This window comes from Homo sapiens, chromosome 14 (genome assembly GCF_000001405.40).
Source record: "Homo sapiens chromosome 14, GRCh38.p14 Primary Assembly".
NCBI classification, from domain to species: domain Eukaryota; kingdom Metazoa; phylum Chordata; class Mammalia; order Primates; family Hominidae; genus Homo; species Homo sapiens.
Genome location: NC_000014.9, coordinates 43227321 through 43250187, shown reverse-complemented (window position 1 = coordinate 43250187; position 22867 = coordinate 43227321).

The window sequence follows — 22867 nt, the reverse complement described above, 5'->3', positions numbered from 1 at the left end:
GGTTGCTGACAGACAGCAAGCAAAGAGAGCAGTATGATTGCTCCGTTCTTGGCCTCCAGTTTACTAGGCAGAGTCCAGGAATATTCCTGAGTTGAAAAGACATTGCTGAGAGTATGAAGAGGCCAAGGAGGAAAAAAAAACTTAATGCAGAGAGTAATAGAAGGAGAAAACTGCACAGAGAGAATCTTTCACAGATTTGAAAATTTTTCTCCCTCTTAATATTAATTGAAAACTTACTGGAGCATATATGCCAAAAAAAAAAAAAAAAAAAAAATACCCAAGGCAGGAGGTAGAAGAATGAAAAAACTCCAGAGCTTAGTAGCTTGAAAAAGTTGCTCGTCCCAGCAGCCAGTTGGAAACCCTCTTAATTAATGAGGCATCAGGTAGAATAAACACCACAGTTTGGCGTCAGCAGTAAGCCAAAGTTTTCTCGAGCAGATATTTCTCTGGTCCCACATACCACAACTTAAGAGTAAGACCAAAAAGAAAAAAAAAAGTAATGGTAATTAATCCAGAAATAGTATAGATGACATAATTAGTACATAAAGACATTAAAGCAGTTAAAATAACTTTATTCTGTGTTGCCAAAAAGCTGCAGAAAGTTTGACCGTGCTAAGTCAATAAATAAATATATTTAAAAGACCAAAATCATATCCTGAGAGAGAAAATATCATATTAAAGTACATGAAAAATAAAAATTATAAAATTTATTCCATATGAAATATTCCAGATAAAAATATTAGTAATTCTGAAAATATAGCATCATAAACTATACAGACTGTAACCTAGAAAAAAAGAAGAATGAAAAAAAATAAACAGAGGTTCAGTGAACTGTGAGACAAAGCATGCAAAGCAAGTAGCCTAAGGCATGTGCAATTGGATTCCCAGAAAATAGGGTGTGGGCAGAAAATGCCACAAGAAATAATGGATATTTTTGCATATTTTATTAAAACTGTAAACTCTCAGATCCATGAGCTCAATAAAATATGACATAAACTAAAACAAAGTACATCTTTATTGAATTGCTTAAAACTGGCATTAAAGAGGAAATTTTAAAAGCAATCAGAAAAAAAAATACACAAGACACAGAGAGAAAGAAATTAGAATGATAGATTACCTCTCATCAGAAAAAATGCATGGTGGACAGTAGGAAAATATCTTTAAATAACTGAAAGGAAAATAACAAAAATGAGCAAACAATACAAGTCAACCTAGAGTTGTAGATTCAATGAAAACAATTATTCACAAAAAATAAAGGCAAAAACAAGACACAGGCAATTGATGAAATCATTAATTACCAATCATCTTACATTATGAAAAATGTGAAGAAAAGTCCCCCAGGCAGAAGGAAAGTGAGGAAAATGATAACAGATTGAAATCTGCATTTATTAAAAAAAAGAGCCTCAGATGGCATGCCTTAGGGCTGATATAAAAGACTTCTTTCTTAACATTATTATTTTTATCAAAAGTAATATAAAATGTAGATTGTCTAAACAACAAAACTAAAACTTGTGGATTGTTAGAATGAATACAAAAGCAAAATGTAATTATCCACTACCTACGAGAAACTCACTTTAAAGAAACAAAGGGGTTCAAGCGTAAGAACAGATAATGACATCTAACAATAATCATACTAATACTAATTTTTGAAAGTTGATATTAAAAGAAAGCTGGAGATGCTACGTTACTGCTTAACAAGTTTGATTTCAGAGAAAAAATATTATCCGGGAAAAAAATGTATCCTTTAATAATATTAGAGGGTAAATTCATCAAGAGAGCATAGCAATCTTAAGCAGTATACACATAGTAACAGAGACTCAAAATATCTGAAGCAAAATCTAATGGAATGTCAAGAAGAAATGCACCAATCTGAAGTTGCAGTGAGAGTTTTTAATACTCTTCTATCAATAATTTTAATTAGAAAAATTAATTCAACTTTAGTAGACTACCTATTATTTTCAAGCACAAGTGAAATGTTTATGAATATAGACCCAATTATGAGCAATAAAACAAGTCTCAATATATTTGAAGTGAATTAAATCATAGAAAGGAAACAAAGAAGATGGAAGAAAGAAAGGAAGGATGGATGGATGGATGGATGGACGGAAGGAAGGAAGGGAGAAAAGTAGGGAAGGAGGGAGAAAGGGGAAGAGAGAGAGAATAGGCCTTACTTTGAAGACCCAACAATTATTTTTGGAAAAAAAATAGAATTTATACATTGCTGGACTAAAAGCAATATATAATCTGAGGGAAATATAAACTAATTGGCATAAACCTAGTACTACCAACAATAAGGTTGGTATGAGGGAAGAAATCTTAAATAATCATTTTGAAGACTCATGTCTCTAATGAAATATCATGTCAGGATAGGAATCATTTTCTATTTTATTAAATATTTTTTAAAATTAACCAAAATATAAAATGATTAATATTTTTTGAAGCAAAAGAAAATAATCTATATAAAGATAATTCTCTCAGGTACCATGCAGATGTACATTTCAGTTAACAATTTATCTGAAGTTCAATTACATAATAATGTTGTTTATATGAGTTAATGTCTAAATATAATTTCTTATCTGATTCTATCATGTAGATAAAATAATGCAAATAGTATACCCTCATTGGTAATGCAAAATGGTACATTCTTAAACTTAATAAACCCTTATGAAAACAGGCTTCATTCAAAACAAATTGTAAGTTAATAAAAATCTAGAACTTTTTCAATCCTGTTTCTGTTCCATCATTTTCACATGTACAACACATTCACAGTAACATATACACTTTTCTTTTTTGATATGGAGCCTTGCGTTTTTGCCTAGGCAGGAGTGCAGTGGTGTGATCTCTGCTCACTGCAACCTCCGCCTCCCAGGTTTAAGTGATTCTCCTGCCTCACCCTCTTGAGTAGCTGGGGTTACAGGTGTATACCACCACACCCAGCTAATTTTTGTATTTTTAGCAGTGATGGGGTCTCGCCATGTTGGCCAGTCTGGTCTTGAACTCCTGGCCTCAGATGAACTGCCTGCCTTGGCCTCCCAAAGTGGTGGGATTACAGGTGTGAGCCACTGCACCCAACCAACATATAAAATTAATGGGGGAATTATCAAGGGAGAAGAATAGCCTTTAACTAAGTAACAGAGTAAAGTAGTCTGACTATAAAAAAAAAATTGTAAGGTTTTCTGACATCCTCATTTAAAATGAACTTATATATAAAAAGCAAACATTTTCTTATTACTTTTTATTTAATTTTATATTGCAAGTACAAGTCATATGCTTTATGGTAAAATAATACAGAAACATGAGAAAAAGTTAAAAATAGTCTTTTCCTTCAATGTTTTTTACTACACAAATTAACATTTATTCACCTTTTGACAATTTTCTCTATGATTATGAAAAATATAAATCTACTACAGATATAAATGCTCTATGTTAATATATGAACATAAATGACTATATAGATATACATATACATGTACATACATATATAAAAAGAAGTTTATACCATTGTAACGCCTAAGGTTCTTGCCTAGCCATGCTAAAGAACTGGTGTGGCCTCTGACTGCATTGAGTGATAGAGACGAACTGAGAGAGAGAAAAAGCTGTAGGCTTTATTGAGCAAAGTGAAAGGACAAAGCTTCCGCAGCATGGAAGTGTGTCCTGAATTGGTTCCTTCCGGTGGGTTCTTGGTCTCACTGACTTCAAGAATGAAGGCGCGGACCCCACAGTGAGTGTTACAGTTCTTAAAGATGGTGTGTCTGGAGTTTGTTCCTTCAGATGTTCAGATGTGTCTGGAGTTTCTTCCTTCTGGTGGGTTCATGGTCTTGCTGACTTCAGGAGTGAAGCCACAGACCTTCTCCGTGAGTGTTACACCTCTTAAAGGTGGCGCGTCTGGAGTTGTTTGTTCCTCCTGGTGGGTTCGTGGTCTCGCTGACTTCAGGAATGAAGCCGCAGACCCTCGTAGTGAGTGTTACAGCTCATAAAGGTAGTGCGGAACCAGAGTGAGCAGCAGCAAGATTTATTGTGAAGAGTGAAAGAACAAAGCTTCCACAGCATGGAAGGGGATCCGGCTGCTGCTGGATCTTGAGTGGCCAGCTTTTATTCCCTTATTTGGCCCTGCCCACATCCTGCTGATTGGTCCATTTTACAGAGGGCTGATTGTTCCATTTTACAGAGTACTGATTGTTCTGTTTTTACAGAGTGCTGATTGGTGCGTTTACAAACCTTTAGCTAGACACAGAGCGCTGATTGGTGTGTTTACAAACCTTTAGCTAGACACGGAGGGCTGATTGGTGCATTTTTACAGAGTGCTGATTGGTGCATTTACAAACCTTTAGCTGGACACAGAATGCTAATTGGTGCGTTTTTACAGAGTGCTGATGGGTACGTTTACAAACCTTTAGCTAGACAGAAAAGTTCTCCAAGTTCCCACTCAACCCAGGAAGTCCACCTGGCTTCACCTCTCAATATGGTAATATGAAAACCCTGAAGACGCCACCAAAAGATATATTTCCATTTGTTTGTGTCATCTTTGATGTCTTTCAGCAGTGTTTTGTAGTTCTCCTTGTAGAGACTTTTTACCTCCTTCATTAAGTGCATTCCTAGATGTTTTATTATTTTGTAGCTATTTGGAAAGGAATGAGTTCTTGATTTGATTCTAAACTTGGTTGTCTTTGGTGTATAGCAGCAATACTAATTTGTGTAACATTGATTTTGTGACCTGAGATTTAACTGATTAATTTATCAGATCCAGGAGTATTTGGAAGTCCATAGGGTTTTCTAGGTATAAGATCATATCATCAGCATACAGAGATCATTTGACTTCCTTTTTTTCAAGTTAGATGTTCTTTATTTTGTTTTTCTCTTGCCTGAATGCTCTTATTAGGACTTTCAATAGTTATGTTGAATAGAAGTGGTGAAATAAGATATCCTTACCTTGTTCCACTTCTTAGAGGGAATGCTTTCAGCTTTTCCTTGCTTAGTATGAGGTTGGCTGTGAAATATCATATATTGCTTTTATTATTTTGAGGTACTTATAGATTAGAAGAATCAATAATGTGAAAATGGCCAAACTTCCCAAAGTAATGTAGAGCTTGGATGCAATTTCTATCAGAATACCAACATCATTTTTCACAATATAAGAAAAGACAATCTTAAAATTCATATGAAAGCAAAAAAAGAGCCCAAATAGCCAAAGCAATCCTAAGCAAACAGAACAAATCTGGAGACACCACATTACCTGACTTCAAATTATACTGCAAGGCTATAAAGTAATCAAAACAACATGATACTGGCATAAAAATAGATATATAGACCAATGGAATAGAATAGAGAACACAGAAATAAGTCCAAATACTTACAACCAACTGATCTTTGGCAAAACATACAAAAATATAAATTGGAGAAAGGAAACTCTATTCAATTAGTGGTGCTAGGAATGTTGTATAGTGACATGTGGAAGAATGAAACTGGATTCCTATCTCTTACTGTATACAAAAATTAACTCAGGATGGATTAAAGACTTAAAGCTAAGACCTGAAGCTACAACTATCCTAGAAGAAAACCTAGGAAACACTTTTCTAGACATTGTGACTAAGATCCCAAAAGCAAACACAACAAAAACAAACATAAATAAATGGGACTTAATTATTTTGCTGCACAGCAAAATAAACCACCAACAGAGTAAATAGACGACCTATAGAATGGGAAAAAATATTCATAAATTATGCATCTGACAAAGGTCTAATATCCAGAAGCTATAAGGAACTTAAAAAACATTAAGAAGCAGAAAGCAACACCATTAAAAAGTAGGCAAAGACATGAACAGACACTTCTCAAAAGAAGACATACAAGCAGACAAAAAACTTATGAAAAAGTGCTCAACATCACTAATCATCGCAAATGCAAATCAAAACCACAATGAGATATTACCTCACACCATTTAGAATGGCTAATATGAAAAAGTCAAAAAACAAACAAACACACATGTTGGCAAGGTTGCAGAGAAAGGAAATGTTCATATACTGCTGGTGGGATTGTAATTTAGTTCAGCTCCTGTGGAAAATTATTTGGAGATTTGCCAAAGAACTAAAAATAGTATTATCATTTTATCCAGCAATCCCATTACTGGATATATACCCAAAGGAAAACAAATCATTCTACCAAAAAGGCATCTGTGCTCACATGTTTATTTCAGCACTATTCACCACAGCAAAAACATGAAATCTACTTAGGTGCCTACCGATGGTGGACTGGATGAAGGAAATGTGATACAAAAACACCATGGAGTACTATGGAGCTATAAAGAGAATGAAATCATGTCCTTTGCAGCAATGTAGATGCAGCTAGAGGCCGTTATTCTAAGTAAATTAACATAGAGACAGAAAACCAAATGCTGCATGTTCTGACTTATAGTTGAGGGCTAAACATTAGGTACACACAGACATAAAGATGGGAATAATAGACACTGGGGACCCAGAAATGGGGAAGGGAAGAAGAAGGTCAAGGGTTGAAAAACTACCTATTGGATACTATTTTCACTGTTTGGGTGATGGTTTCAGTTGAAGCCTAAGCATCACACGATATATCCATGTAACAAACCTGCACATGTACCCTTTGAATCAAATATTTAAGAAAAAAATAATAAAATAATACTTTAAAAATATGATTGCTACCTTGTATGTGAGGTAGTAATCATATTTTACTACCTTAGAGTTTACTACATTATATGTCATGATCCTTCCGTTTATTTCAGGATTTTCTCACTCTTTTCTTCAATTTTATTTTACCATTTAGGAATCAGCCCTTTTCTTCATTTCTGCTGATCTTGCTCTTTTCTACTATTTAGTAAGCTCATATTAGCTCCATCTTCTGTGTAGCTGCTGCTTTTGTGACTATCTCAGAAATATTGTTTATAGATATCTTTGTTATTTCCAGATAAATCCATTACTTCAATTTGTTTCATGCCTAACATATGCCTTCTCAATAGAACAACCTTTCTGTGTAAATAGTTGACAGTGTTTTCTAAAATTTTGAATTTTTTTTTGCTTACGTCTTATATTTAATATTTTCACTTCACTGAATCTGATCATCCTAGATCTCCTTGGTGTGAAGCAGGTGGCTTAAGGTTATCTCTTTCACTATTTTTTTTTTTTTTTTTTTTTACTAAATAAATCAGTCAAGAGTATTCTGAGTGGGAAGGCTAAACAATTAGCATATTGATGTGATGAAACACAAGCTCTGTTACCACAATTGTCTAGTAGAGTGGTTCATTCCTCAAGTAAGTTTATGCTTTTACTATTAAACTTCACTAAATAAATAGATGTTGGGTGCCCTCCCAATTAATATTACAATTATTTTTCTTCTATGAGTGTTTTTATGTCCTAAGAACATAAAAACTAATATTTAATAAGTTGCATTACATTTGGTAACAGGAATAATAACAACAATGGTTAATAGTCAGCTTATGTTCTTTTCTCACAGAGCTTGCGTATACATTTTGGTTTTCTTCTAATCTGGGATAAACCAACATCTTCAACAAGCTTAAAATTTTCTAGTATAGAAAGAACAATGAGACACTTTTACTTATATTAAAATATGTTGAAGAAGAAATACAAAATAATCAAACACAAGCTTAATGGGGAAGAAAACTTTTTTCATACAATATGTTTTGAACTGGTCAAGAATAAAATACTACTGTTTGTATTTTGTTTCCATGGAAAAGATGCATTCTCTAATGTTTAGATCAAAATTTACCTAAGAGAAAAATAGAACAATTTTCCAAACATCAGAAATGCATTATTATTTCGATATATTTGGTTTAGCAAAACATAATATTGACATATTTTTATTATTAATAATTAACATATCAATATATTTTTATCATAATTAACATATTAATTTTTAATATAAATTTAACATTAACATAATATTAATTTTTGGTAGTGTGTAAAAAACGAAAGGTTAGGCAATGTCTGAGGAGCTAAGTTTGACACAAAAAAGAGGAAAATTTTTACTAAAATTTTGTGGATTTTCAAAACTAAAAAAATAAAAACCATGAATTGTGGATTGCAGTGGGAAAACAAGCCTGAGCACAATGCAATAGGATGGGATTAAAAAAAAAAGATAAATGCTAGACACCTCACCAAAGAATATATGCAGATGGTAAATCAACATATAAAAAGATAATCTACCTCATATGTCATCAGGGAAATGCAAATTAAAACAGCAATGAGATACACATTGACTTGAATGGCCAATATCTAGAACAATGACACTAAATGCTGTTGAAGATGGAAGCATCAAGAACTCTCATTCATTGCTAATGGGAATATAAAATGGTACGGCCACTTTAGAAGACAGTTTGGGGGCTTCTTCCAAAAGTAAGCATACACCTACCATATGATCTAGCAACAGCACTCATCATTTTTTTTTCCCAAAGAGGTTAAAAACATATGTCCCCACAAGAATCTTCAACCTGATGTATATTGCCACTTTATTCATTGCCCAAACCTGGAAGCAACCAAGATGCCCTTCAGCAGTTCAATGGATAAGTAAACTCTGGTACTTCCAGACAATGAAATATTATTCAGCACTTAAAATAAATTATTTATTAAGCTATGAAAAGTCATAGAGAAAGCTTCTATGTATATTGCTAAGTGAAAGAAGTCAGTCTGAAAAGCCAATGTATTCAAACATATAACATTCTGGAAACGTAAAACTGTGGTGAGAGTAAAAAGATTGGTTGTTGCCAGGAGTTGATGGGAGTAAATATTACATGGTATAGGGTTTGACCAGAAGACTGACATTAGAGGAAAGGAGGTTTGGAAATGGGTCCATTACCACAGGATCCACTGGTCATCCAGAATAAGTCCGCCTGTTATAGCAATGGAAACACCTATACAAAACAGGTTTGAAATGACACCTAAAGGGAAAATCCTCTGAAAAGATGGTTTCCATCTTTCAAAATACAATAGCTGTAATATATGCACTTTTGTGCTGCACATGGACTATAGAAAGAATAACTGTGTCTGGAAACCAAAAGGAGAAATTCCCAATCACTTACTAGAAACTGCAAAGTTGGAAGTTCTGATCTCTAATGTAAGTACATGCTTGTCAGTGGACACAAGAGGTACACTATTTAATTTCAAGCCATATTACCATGTGGGCATATTGTACTCATGCCCAGGGACCAGTATTTATAAGAAGAGCCAAGATTTTGATGAAGATAATTGACTCTGATCAGCAGAAGCATGTAGTTGTTTTTACAAAAGAGGAATGAAGGGAAAGTGTGTGGAATCCAGCAAATTTCATTCAGACACTTGATGTTCCTCCGTGTAATTTTAACTATGAATGTACGCATAGGGGAAACTTAGTTTGAAATTATCAGATCATTACCAAAGTGTCAAGCCCTTTAGAAATGAGTGTTTAGGTCATACCACTATCTAAACCATCAATACCTGCTGAGCAGAGAGTAAGGAACATTTCAAGTGGATCATGGAGAAGCCAGCCATATGTAAATGGTCCTGAGACCAATTGCAGCAAAAGGGATTTTAATTTTCTCTAAAGGGATTTTAGAGAAAGGGTTCTCAATTAAAATTAAAATTAAGGGATTTTAATTTTCTCTACTAAATTCTGTAGTCTAGTTTTCTCCTGGAAGAAATACCTCACAGGAACTGTGGAAGAGCTCCTGCCTGAATCTGTGTGGTAAAAAAGATTTTTGTAGAGAAGTGAAATGGAATTGGTGGGCCTTAAAAATGTCCTACTTGGATTTTTTATCAATGGATCCCACTTAAAAAGTGTTGTTGCTTAACAGCCTTCAACAACTACCCATGTAGTTGCATGTATAAAACTTTTAATATCACTTATTAAATGGCTATTTTAAAATATTAAATATAATTTATTGATATATTAAAGGTAATATGTGTTTATTTGTGCCTATTATTATTTTTATTTGTGTTGATAATTGTTTATTGGTCTGAAATTTCAGGAAGGGAGACTGTCATAATAGTAAAGAGTAGAACATCTTGGCGGGGGATCTGTAAATGATAATAGCAAGGAAAAGTGGGTCACATGAAAAAAGAGAAGACTATAGACTGAGCAATGTTTTGTAGATTTAGACTTTTCCTGTAGATACTGGAACTCCTTCATCTTTTAAAATGTATGTAAATAATTCACACAAAAAATTATTTCAGTTAAAATTCTCTGGTTTTATCACTCGGCATCATGGCCACCACAACATGGTGGTTAAGGGTGTGGGTTTAGTAGCTACATAAAACTGAATCTGAGCTATGAATCTGGCACTTAGTTAGCTATGTAACTTTTGAGAATTTCTGTCCTTTCCATAAGCCTCTGCTTTTTCATTTTTTAATATTTTAATAATACCTCCTTCACAATATTGTAATGGAGCTATATTAAGAGAATGCATAGTAATTTACATTTACATATTTTATGTTCACAATACATTTTCAATATTTGGAATAACAACAATAACAACAGTAATAGTAATGTCAATAATTTGAAGTTATTTCTTTTGGTCAATCATTAGTCTATTGAAGGAAGCATTAAAATACTGTTATATAGTGTGATCTAAGATTTGTGATGTCTATCTTTAATGACGTATGACTAATTTGGAGATAAGAATAATGCACATAAGCATATAAGTACATATATTATATGATAATAACATTGTTTTAAGTAGTAAAATATCAGTAAGCATGAATACAACAGTCTACTGACAAGGATTTACTGTAAATTGCTAACACTAGGGACAAGTTTGAAATATTGCAGATAAGTAGACTAGACTCAGATTACGGAGTGCATTGACATCTCCGTAGATTGATTTCTACTAAACTCACTGAAAAGTTCACATCATTATGTTTTGAATATGTTTGAGAAAAGCAACTTGTGAGAAGAGATAATCAACCAGAATATGTGCAATTATTGGGAAGAAAGACAATGTCAGGTTAAGTACCTCTAATGCTCCTAAAACACTTAGTCAGAAAGAGATTAACATCCAGTCTAGATTAATGGGAGTAGTAATAAAGAATAAAATGTGTATCTAGTATATTGATGATTTAAATAAATTAGATAGAAGAAATAAATAATTAGTGTCTATTGTTGTATCATAAATGCTACTGTTTTCAAGTACTGTCAAATTATAAAATCATAGAAAGATGATGAGTAAAAGAGTTACCTTATTGCCAGTTACTGGATCCATATCTGAGAAAGAGGCTTGACCTACGATGAAAGAGAAGGGGATCTAAAGGATAGAAGAAATAGAGTAGGTTTGTCCAGCAAAATTTTGAGGATAGAAAATATAAATGATAGTTTGAAAATGCCAGAAAAATAAAAGATACTTAACAATATATACAATTTTAATAAAGGATAACATAAGAGACCAGTGTATTAAAGTTGCCTAAAACTGATTATCACTAATAATGACAGGTCTGTGATGTGTTTGGTTGCAGAGGAAGAGTAAGGTGGGGGTAGAAAGGAAGGCACATAAAATGGTAGAGTGATTTATCTTTATCAACAACTAGGAAGACAGCTGGTTACAAATAGCTAGCTCATACTGCAAGCAATTTAAACAATTCCCTAAATATAATAGCAAGAAGATGAGGTTTTATGAAACCTAAATTCAGATCAAATATGTAGACAATCTATCATAATTATTTATGTCACCATCATCTTTTATGTTGACATATGCTGAAAACCTGTTCCCTAAAATGATCACTCTGAACAAAATACTTCGGAGTCAACTAAAAATAAGTAATACATGCATTGAGTATTATGTAATATATTTCTTCAAAAATGGCTTTCAAATCATGCAGTAGTGAAGAGGGGAAGTAGCTAATAATTTGGTTTCTTGGGTATAAACTTTCCTCTGAAGCAAGCTTGTGTAATGTAAACACTTAACCTTTGAGCCTGACTTACCTAATTGGTAAAATGGAAATAATGATCCTGCCTTGAAAGCATGTTGAAAATTAAATCTTCACTATTATTAATGTTATTCACTTTAATATGTTGAAGTAATGCAGCATGGCCACTTAAAAAAGAGAAACTACAAATAAAATTATAGTAAATTTTTATTCTAATTAAATTTGGCTAGCAAAATAATACAATTTAATACGTGAAATTATTCTTTCAAACCGACAAGAGGGCATGTCCCTTATAAAAGTCTATTGGTCTGAATCTTACATATGCATGAAATATATTCATAATAGATATCTTTATGTATTACATAAACAGATGTGTGGTAAATTTCTATATAAATTCAATTACAAATCCACACAGATGTATAAGAAGATATATTAACAAAATATAAGTCACCATGAGAAATCAGACAAGTTCAATTAAAGATATTCTTTAAAATATGCCACTAGTAAGAGTTATTAGGTAGAATTACATTCACATAACACGTTTTGAAAAGTATGACCTTTAACAAAGGAACTCACCTCTAAGTTTCCTCACCAAAAGAAAAGAAAGAGAGGTGGAATGGATATTTGTATTGTGGACTTATAAGAAGGGAATGGAATGAGATAACATCTGAAAGCTGCAAAAACTGACATGTAGTAGGCAGCCTATAAACTTTAGCTTTGCTTTGTCTCATTTTAACTTAAGAAAAACTAAAGGTGGAAAGATTTAAAAAGTTACAATTGTCTTAACCAAGAATGTGACCTACCTTATATTATCATTCCATAGTAAGAATCCACAAAACTTTAGGAATGAAATATTCGTTGTAGGAGGGATCTGTTTAGATCAGTAATTTTCAGTGCCCTTGGACTTTCCAAAGTCACATAAGAGAGCACGGACCTAGATTTTTTTTTTTTTTTTTTTTTTTTTTTTTGATACGGAATCTCGCTCTGTCGCCAGGATGGAGTTCAGTGCCACAATCTCGGCTCACTGCAACCTCAGCCTCCTGGGTTCAAGTGATTCTGCGGCCTCAGCCTCCCGAGTAGCTGGGACTACAGGCGTCCACCACCACGCTCAGCCAAGTTTTGTATTTTTGTAGAGACGGGGTTTCACCATGTTGGCCAGGATGGTCTCGATCTCTTGACCTCGTGATCTGCCCGCCTCGGCCTCTTAAAGTGCTGGGATTACAGGCGTGAGCCACCGTGCTGGCTGGGGCCCTAGAGTTTTTAACCCATACCTCTCTAGTGCCCTTTTTTTCTTTCCATCTCCTCCTCATTCTACTTATCTACCACCAATAATTATTGTGATTGTGAAGCACTCTGAGCTTTTGGAATACTGCATTGCTCAGTTTTACTGCGTTGGATTAAACAGAGAGGCCTCACTCCAAAAATTAAGACTCTTCACTTTCTAGTTGATAAAATTCACAAACATCTCTTCAAGAAAAGTATTTTTTTGGTTCACATAGCTTATTCTGTACAAGAATTTACAGTGTTGAGTAGGTTTTTTCTCTTTACAATGCTTGAGTTTCTACTGCGGCATTAGTTTGGGACTGCTTGTTAGTTGGCAGGTTGGAGTAATTCAGAAACTAAACATAAAAATTTCTTCTTTATAGAAAGATAAAATCTAGAAAAAAAGTCATTTCTTTCTCACTAAAGACTATGAAATCTAAAGCAATCATGTTTTATCACACTAGTGCCTTAAATCTATCTGAATTTGACAGATAAATATTTTGAAATTTATTGTATATTTAAATAATGCTTTTTCCACTCACTAATTTTAATCTATGTTAACTTGAAAAGATATAAATTGGAAGATCATCTTCAATTTATACATAACTAAGTGAATTTGACAACTTTGATTATGACATTTAACCTGCAAGTGGATAGCATAATTGAGGACTAAAATGATAAATAGTTAACTATAGGCAAATTACAAATGTTTTCACAATGATTGTGTTAGAGTGGTATTCCTTATTTCTTTTCTTAAGCTGAAAAACATTTTTAATTACTTCTGACTTCTACTATGTTCCATTGTACATGTATATCAACAGTGCTTTAAGTTTAGTTTCAAATATGGCATAAACAATACGGCAAAATTTTATTAGTTTACACACTAGTTATTTAAACATAAATCCAAAAGAAATAAAACTTCATTACAAAGGGCAGATAGCAAAATGTAACACTATTAAAATTTCTACCAACTATCCTAATGTCTAGCATGTAATAAGTATCTGTTGAGCTATTAAACAAAGTTTTTGAAAATGCATGGCTATGCCCAAAAGGACAATTATTTGCTGAAAAATTATACAAATATAACTTAATGAACAAAATGTTTCTGTTTTGAAAATTAATATGTAATATTTCCTACTGTCATTGATAGGCATGCTTGTAATTCTTTGTCTTAAATTAAAAATAGTTATTAGAACTTATTAAAAGCTTGGTGTTACTTTATACATAGAAGCCTCTATAAATGTAGTTTCAGTTTAGATATTGTATTTTTATTTAATTAAATTAATCCATAAGAATTTCCTTTTATAATATATAATGTCTAATACCTGAATTTCAATTTAAAACTTCTTTTTCTATCATATGAGCATGCCTATATGTTATTTGACATTTGGATATGGCAAATTTATACTTCAAGTTAATGTTTTAACATATGTATTTTTTTTTCTAAATAGGGCCTTTTGTAGTTCAGAACACTAAAACTCACATATTACATGTATTGGTGTGCGTGTTTAGAGAAACCGTATTTAAATATAAAAGTATTTTGTTCTTCACTAATATAAACAATTTCAAAACTAAAAAACTTTGTATTATGGATACATTCTATTTGATTTTCTACAGATTAATGATTAATATTTTAAAATTTTGGGATTTTTGCATTTATTATGCTTCAAGTTATTAGTGAAAACCTTCAAGAAATAAAACTTAATTATCCATTAATTTTTTATCCAAAAAATTAAAAGATTTTTAACTTCATTATTAGTTAACTCTTTAGGAAGGTCTAAATAAGGTTTTAAATCCATATTTATTTGTAGAAAGGTAATATAGTAATCATGTCAAATATTTCAACTTGACAAGTATAAATTAAATTGCATTTAATTTTTAATATCTTTGCAATCTTAGTGAAACTGTTAATAAAATGTCTCAGGTAAATATGATTATCTTGTTTTCAAGTTTATCTGAAAAGAAAGAAATATACAATAATTCAGAAGGAAAATGATGTAACTGGACCAAACGGAAAAGGAAACTTGTCGTAGCAAAATTTAAATATTGAGGGAAATGATGGAAACTTAGAAGAAGTAGATTACTTTAAAAAAATGTGTGTTCAAATTATATATGTACACAGTGGCAATGATGCTATACGCTTATTTAAATTAGTTGTAGTTTGCCTAGATCCTAGTTAGACTCTACAGCTTTACAGTACATACTTTGCTATAAATTTAAATCTCAGCTTAGTTGTCATCAAGTTAACTTAACTGAAAATTTCCAAAAGTAACTTATTGAATTTTACCTAATTATCATGCATTCTCACAATTTATATAATGTTACTTTTATCTGACAGTAAAATAAAACCACCATCAGTATCTTAATTTCCCTTTCAAAACAGATAGAGGCTTTGAACACTCTCAATTTTATGTCTTGGTCTGGTATTTATCTACCACAATGACTTGCATAGAATCCCATTAAAACTGACACAATCCTTTGATATTTCAATTTTTAAAATTTAAATAATAAATTTACCAAATGCATATGGTACAGCAAATCAATACCAAAACTTAAAAAAAAATACTAGAGGTCTCTATTTTCCTCCTCTCACTCATTCAACTCAAATATAAACATGTTTTTAATCTCTTATTGAAATACACAAACAGAAATTACTTAAACATATTGCTATGCACTTTACTTTTTCACTTCATAATATTACACATTGTGTTATATACATTTTAAAATTTATTTGGCTTTATAAGCTCTTTTTTTAAAACATGCCTGGGTGAGGAATGATTTGTATCCCAAACCTCAGCTTCATGCAGTATACTTTCAGATAACAAACTCATTCATGTATCCCCTAAATCTAAAATAAAAATTGAAAATTAACAAAAAGTAAAATAAAATAAAAAAGAAATAAGCTTGATATCAAAGCTTGACGCTCTTTAAATTAAGTTGTTCAAAATCATGATCAATCATAGTATGAACAATATTATATTAAAGACTTTTTTTTTTTTTGAGACACGGTCTCACTCTGTCACCCAGGCTGGAATGCAGTTGCAAGATCTCAGCACACTGCAACCTCTGCCTCGCGGGTTCAAATGACTGTCGTGCCTCAGCCTCCCTAGTAGCTGGGATTACAGGCACCCCTCACTACGCCTAACTAATTTTTGTGTTTTTACTAGAGACAGGGCTTTGCTATGTTGGCCAGGCTAGTCTGGAGCTCCTGACCTCAAGTGATCAGCCCACCTCAGCCTCCCAAATTGCTGGGATTACGGGCGTGATCCACTGCACCCGGTCTGAAATCATTTTTAGAAACAATTTTCCACCAGTTTAAAGCAAATAAACTTATCATAAAGTAAAATGATGAAGAAAAAGATCATTTCGGTGAAATACTTAAATATATTCTCTTTATAATTTAAAGTACCTTTGTATGGTTCAGTGTTCTGAATAAACATTTCTATGGATAAAAAATGCTTGTATAAATTTTTTGTTGAATGGTTAAATAAATTAAATTTTTGTTAAATTACTGTGGCTTTAGGGAATATTTACTATATTAAAAGTGTATTTTAAATTTTCAAATGGGGATTTGGTAAGCAGCATTTTCCCTGCTCTGTTTATTATCATACCTTAATCATATCTATTACTAGCTGCTACCTATTAACAGCTCTTGAAAACGATTTCTAAACAGTTTACAAAATTCTCATCTAATTTTATTCAGAGTTTCTGCCATATTTATACCAAATATAAATTGGTTTTGCTTTTTAGAATGACCATTCTGCCCAATTCAGTACTTTTTATCATGATTATGTTTTACATTGAATGTAAATGAATTTCTATTGAAGAAACTCATAGAATAATGTCTGAATATATGTAAATCTAACATGCAACAACATAATTCAATTTTCATTTTATTTTATTTTTAGTTTTATTTTTGAGATGGAGTTTCGCTCTTGTCCCCCAGGCTGGAGTGCAATGGTGCGCTCTTGCTCACTACAACCTCCGCCTCCTGGGTTCAAGCGATTCTCATGCCTCAGCCTCCTGAATAGCTGGGACTACAGCTGTGAGCCACTATGCCCGGCTAATTTTATAGAAACAGAGTTTCACATGTTGGGCAGGCTGGTCTCAAACTCCTGATCTCAGGTGATCTACCCACCTTGACCTTCCAGAGCTGGGATTACAGGCATGAGCCATCACGCCCAGCCAATTTTCATTTTAACAAAGTCATTTTTGGGGAAAAATGGCCATTAGAATCAGCAAAGATTTTTCTAAATACACTATCCCTTGCTCTTTTTTGTGTGTGATTGAAAAATTTTGCGAGGGCATCTATTAGCATGTATATGTGTTAGAATTCCATGCTAAAACAAGAGAAACCAATTTGCTTGCTTATTGCTTGCAGAACTAATGAAGGAATAGACCTCAGGAAACATTGGAATGAAAAAGCTTAAACACTGACATTACTCTCTTCATTCATTCTTTTTTTTTTTTTTTACACATTAATTCATTTGTATTGTGACTCTTCTCTGCTCCAGGGACAATGGTGAGACATTTGACATACAATGGTCTGATGGTCAGTAAATTGTCCGGCTTTTTATGTTTTCTTAAGTTTTGGTTTTGCCTTAATTTATTCTTTCTTAATCTTCTGTCATTTTTTTCTACTCCCTTTTCCCTCTCTCCTTTGGTTTTTCTTCTTCTTTTCTTCCTCTCCAATCTTTATTGTCCTTTTCTTCTCTTAAGCAGAAAATATGATTACTGATAGGGCCTGAAGAAGATACAGCTTTGGCTATCCGAGAGAAAATTTTGTGCTTCCCCCAAAAAGTAACAAAATGTCCAAGAAAGAGAATATATGGTTCTATTTGGCTGAGGCTTATCTCTAGGCAATAAGCTGTGGCTGGTGGGTGATAATTGGAGTTGAGGACTACTAAAGTTTGAATTGTGTTAGATGACTGCTATTAAAGAAAATATTTAGAATGTCATAGTCCTAGGTACAATAATGTCTTAAAAATACTCATAATTTTTGTATAAGGTGTAAGGAATGGGTCCAGTTTCAGTTTTTTGCATATGGCTAGCCAGTTTTCCTGACACCATTTATTAAATAGGGAATCCTTTCCCCATTGCTTGTTTTTGTCAGGTTTGTCAAATGTCAGATGGTTGTAGATGTGTGGCATTTTTTCTGAGGCCTCTGTTCTGTTCCATTGGTCTATATATCTGTTTTGGCACCAGTGCCATGCTGTTTTGGTTACTGTAGCCTTGTAGAATAGTTTGAAGTCAGATGAAGTGATGTCTCAGGCTTTCTTCTTTGTGCTTAGGATTGTCTTGGCTATACAGGCTCTTTTTAGTTCCATATGAAATTTAAAGTATTTTTTTTTCTAATTCTGTGAAAAAAGTCAGTGGTAGCTTGATGGGGTTAGCATTGAATCTATAAATTACATTGGGTAGTATGGCCATTTTCATGATACTGATTCTTGCTATCCATGAGCATGCATTGTTTTTCCATTTGTTTTTGTCCTCTCTGATTTCCTTGAGCAGTGGTTTGTAGATCTCCTTGAAGAGGTCCTTCACATCCTTTGCAAGTTGTATTCCTAGGTATTTTATTCTCTTTGTAGCAATTGATAATGGGAGTTCACTCATGATTTGGCTCATGGGTTGTCTATTATTGGTGTATAGGAATATTTGTGATTTTTTACACATCGATTTTGTATCCTGAGACTTTGCTGAAGTTGTTTATCAGTTTAAGGAGATTTTGGGTTGAGATGATGGAGTTTTCTGAATATACAATCAAGTCATCTGCAAACAGAGACAATTTGACTTCCTTTCTTCCTATTTGAATACCCTTCATTTCTTTCTCATGCCTGACAGCCCTGGCCAGAACTTCTAATAATATGTTGAATAGGAGTGGTGAGAGGGCATCCTTGTCTTGTGCCGGTTTTTAAAGGAAATGCTTCCAGCTTTTGCCCATTCAGTATAATATTGGCTGTGGGTTTGTCATAAATAGCTCTTATTATTTTGAGATATGTTCCATCAATACCTAGTTTATTGAGAGATTTTAGTGTGAAGGGGTGTTGGATTAAAGACTTAAACGTAAGACCTAAAACCATAAAAACCCTAGAAGAAAGCCTGGGCAATACAACTCAGAATATAGGCATGGGCAACGAATTCATGACTAAAACATCAAAAGCAATGGCAACAAAAGCCAAAATTGATAAATGGAATCTAATTAAACTAAAGAGCTTCTGCACAGCAAAAGAAGCTATCATCAGAGTGAACAAGCACCCTACAGAATGTGAGAAAATTTTTGCAATCTATCCATCTGACAAAGGGCTAATATACAGAATCCACAAAGAACTTTAAAAATTTACAAGAAAAAACCAAACAATCCCATCAAAAAGTGTGCAAATATATGAACAGACACTTCTCAAAAGAAGACATTTATGTGACTAACAAACATGCAAAAAAGCTCATCATCACTGGTCATTAGAGAATTGCAAATCAAAACCGCAATGAGACACGATCTCAGGCCAGTTAGAATAGCGATCCTTAAAAAGTCAGGAAGCAATAGATACCGGAGAGGATGTGGAAAAATATGAGCGCTTTTACACTGTTGGTGGGGGTGTAAATTAGTTCCACCATTGTGGAAGACAGTGTGGTGATTCCTCAAGGATCTAGAACTAGAAATACAATTTGACACAGCAATCCCATTACTGGGTATACCCAAAGAAATATAAATCATTCTACTTTAAAGACACATGCACACATATGTTTATTCCCACGTTGTTCACAATAGCAAGGCTTGGAACCCACTCAAATGCCCATCAGTGATAGACTGGATAAAGAAAATGTGGCACATGTACACTATGGAATATTATGCAGCCATAAAAAGGAAGAGTTAATGTCTTTGGAGGGACATGGATGAAACTGGAAACCATCATTCTCAGCAAACTAACACAAGATCAGAAGACCAAACACAGCATGTTCTCACTCATAAGTGGGAGTTGAACAATGAGAACACATGGGCACAGGGAGGGGAACATCACACACTGGGGCCTGTTGGGAAATGGTGGGCTAGGGGAGGGATAGCATTAGGAGAAATACCTAGTGTAGATGATGGGTTGATTGGTGAAGCAAACCACCATGGCATGTGGATACCTATGTAACAAATCTTCACGTTCTGCACATGTATTCCCGAACTTAAAGTATAATTAAAAAGAAAAAGAAAATAGCAGTAACAACAACAAAAAGAAAACAAAGAATGTAAATCATCACATTAATGATGTCTGCATTGATTACATGTTGAAATGATAATATTTTGGATATATTGGGTTATATTATATATATTATTAAAATCAATTTCACTTGTCTTCCTATAACCTTAAAAAACACTCATAATGCACCTTCAGTTATAGATGACTGTGTGAGTGGTAGTGTAAAGGGAAAAGAAAGTATGATGGTTCATTTCAGGTATGATATTGACTGGAGCAAGGGATACCCAGACACTGGTAAAGTATAATTTCTGGGTGTGCCTGTGAGGGAGTTTCTGGAGAAGATTGGCATTTGAATAAGCAGATTAAGGAAGATCTACCCTCACTCAATCTTGTCAATCACTGTCTCGCCACTGAGGACGCAGATAGAATAAAAAAGCAAAGGAAAGGCAATTTTTCTTGTTCTTCCAAGGCTGGGACACCCATCTGCTCCTGCCCTTGCTCATCAGAGCTCCAAGTTCTCTGCCATTTGGACTCCAGGAGTTACACCAGCAGCTTCCAGATTGTCAGGGCTTTGGCCTAAGACTGAAAATTATACTATAGGATTCTCTGGTTCTCGAGCCTTCAGACGTGACTGGAACAATGTTACGACTTCTCTACTTCTCCAGCTTGCAGATGGTCTATTGTGGGACTTCTTGAGTTGGTAATTGTGTGAGCCAATTTCCCTAATAAATCCCCTCTCATACACCTGTGTATATCTGAAACTATTCGTTCTGCTTCTCTCGAGAACCATGAGTAATACAAAAACTTTGATAAAACATTATTTTAACTCATTCAGTGATGTAGTATACATCACAGAAAATTATAAAAGTGATAGATTTGTCTTAAGCATTATACATCTCCAACATGCCCAGTGGCCTTGTATGTGCATTGTGGCATCTCAGGTTCTTCATTGTGCCTGCTACACAAAGATGTGCTACTAATATAATGACTATGTCTTCAAGGAAGAAAATATACCTTCCTATTGCTTCAAATCTGTCTTACAGAAAAAGTATGGAGAAATCTACTCCAGCACATTTCCAATTACTGCATAAAAATGACTCAGATGTGTATAAAAGCGGTTTCTGCCCTAAAGTAATGATTTCCTCAATAATATATTTTATACAACTGGAATTAACTAGTGTAATTTTCAAGTACTTTTAATTATTTCCTAGAATCAGGTACCAAGATTGAGAAATAGAGTTAATCAAAAATATTCAGTTTATTAAAATATTTCTGTTTGGAAATGGGTCTAAAGTTATCTGATTTATTAATGATTCCAAAAATTTTTGTGCATTTCTTACCTTCAGCTCAATGTTAAACTAAATTTGTTGCTAAATTAATATTTGTTGATGACATATTTTATAAAAATAAATGATAAGATTATTACTTTACAGATAATAATATAATACTGATTAATAATTCCATATTGGGAAAAAGTTCCATTTTGTCATGTATGAATAAAAATATCTCTTTGAAGTCCATTCTAAGTAAGGCATACACAATTCCTGAACTGTCTAGAGAAAGCATAACGATATTATCTCATATTGATTTGAAGGGAATGGTAGCCCTGTTACCAAATCAGCTTCTGTAGCCATGATATTTTTTTAGAGAAACATATTCAATTACTGGTCATGCCACACTTGGCTTCCTTTTTTAGATGGACTGCATTACACTACATGAATTTGGATGTGCCCCATTGCCTCTGCTCTGAGACTTTTGCACGGAGGTATAGTAACAAAAGCAATGCTAACCTTCGGAAAGAGCATTCCCAAGGATTAATGTTAACAACCTTTGGCTATACTGCAAACTATCACCTCTAGCCATGTAGTCATCAATCCAGAAAAAATACTTTGACCTTTGGGTATTACTATTTAAGTTGTAAAAAGTAAAGAAAATAAACAAACAAAAATCACAAGCATACCCATTGAAGTTATGCCTTTCTCCAGGCAATGCAATGGCAAAGTTGAAACTTACTCTTGAATATGACTACGTTATGAAGACCACTACACTTTTGAACAATTAGGTTATTATTTATTGTGATAACATGATGGCATTAGATCAATCTCCTTCACATTTATGCTTAAAGTAAATGAATATTTATTGGTAATTCATTTTGTATTTCTGTTTCTCTTGAAAAATGCATTCTCAATTAGTATCATCAAAACTCATTTTTTAATGTGTTTAATGTTCAAATAACTGACAATAGGTAAAATTCTGTTAAACATTCTACAGAACGATAGTTTCTATGGGTAAGTGGGAGTCAGCATCATCTATGGAATATATTTATAATATAGATTCGTTGAGTCCTCCTAACAGATTCTGTTCAAATAGGTTAGAGGTAAATTCAATCTTCTGAAAAATATTTAATATACTTACAGGGAATATTAATTCATAGACGGATTATGAGGCTATACTGCTTTACAACTCTAAACTAGAATTGAAATTTTATTTCTTTATTTGTGATACATTTTATAATTCTTAAAGACAAGATCTTGAAGAAAATATTTT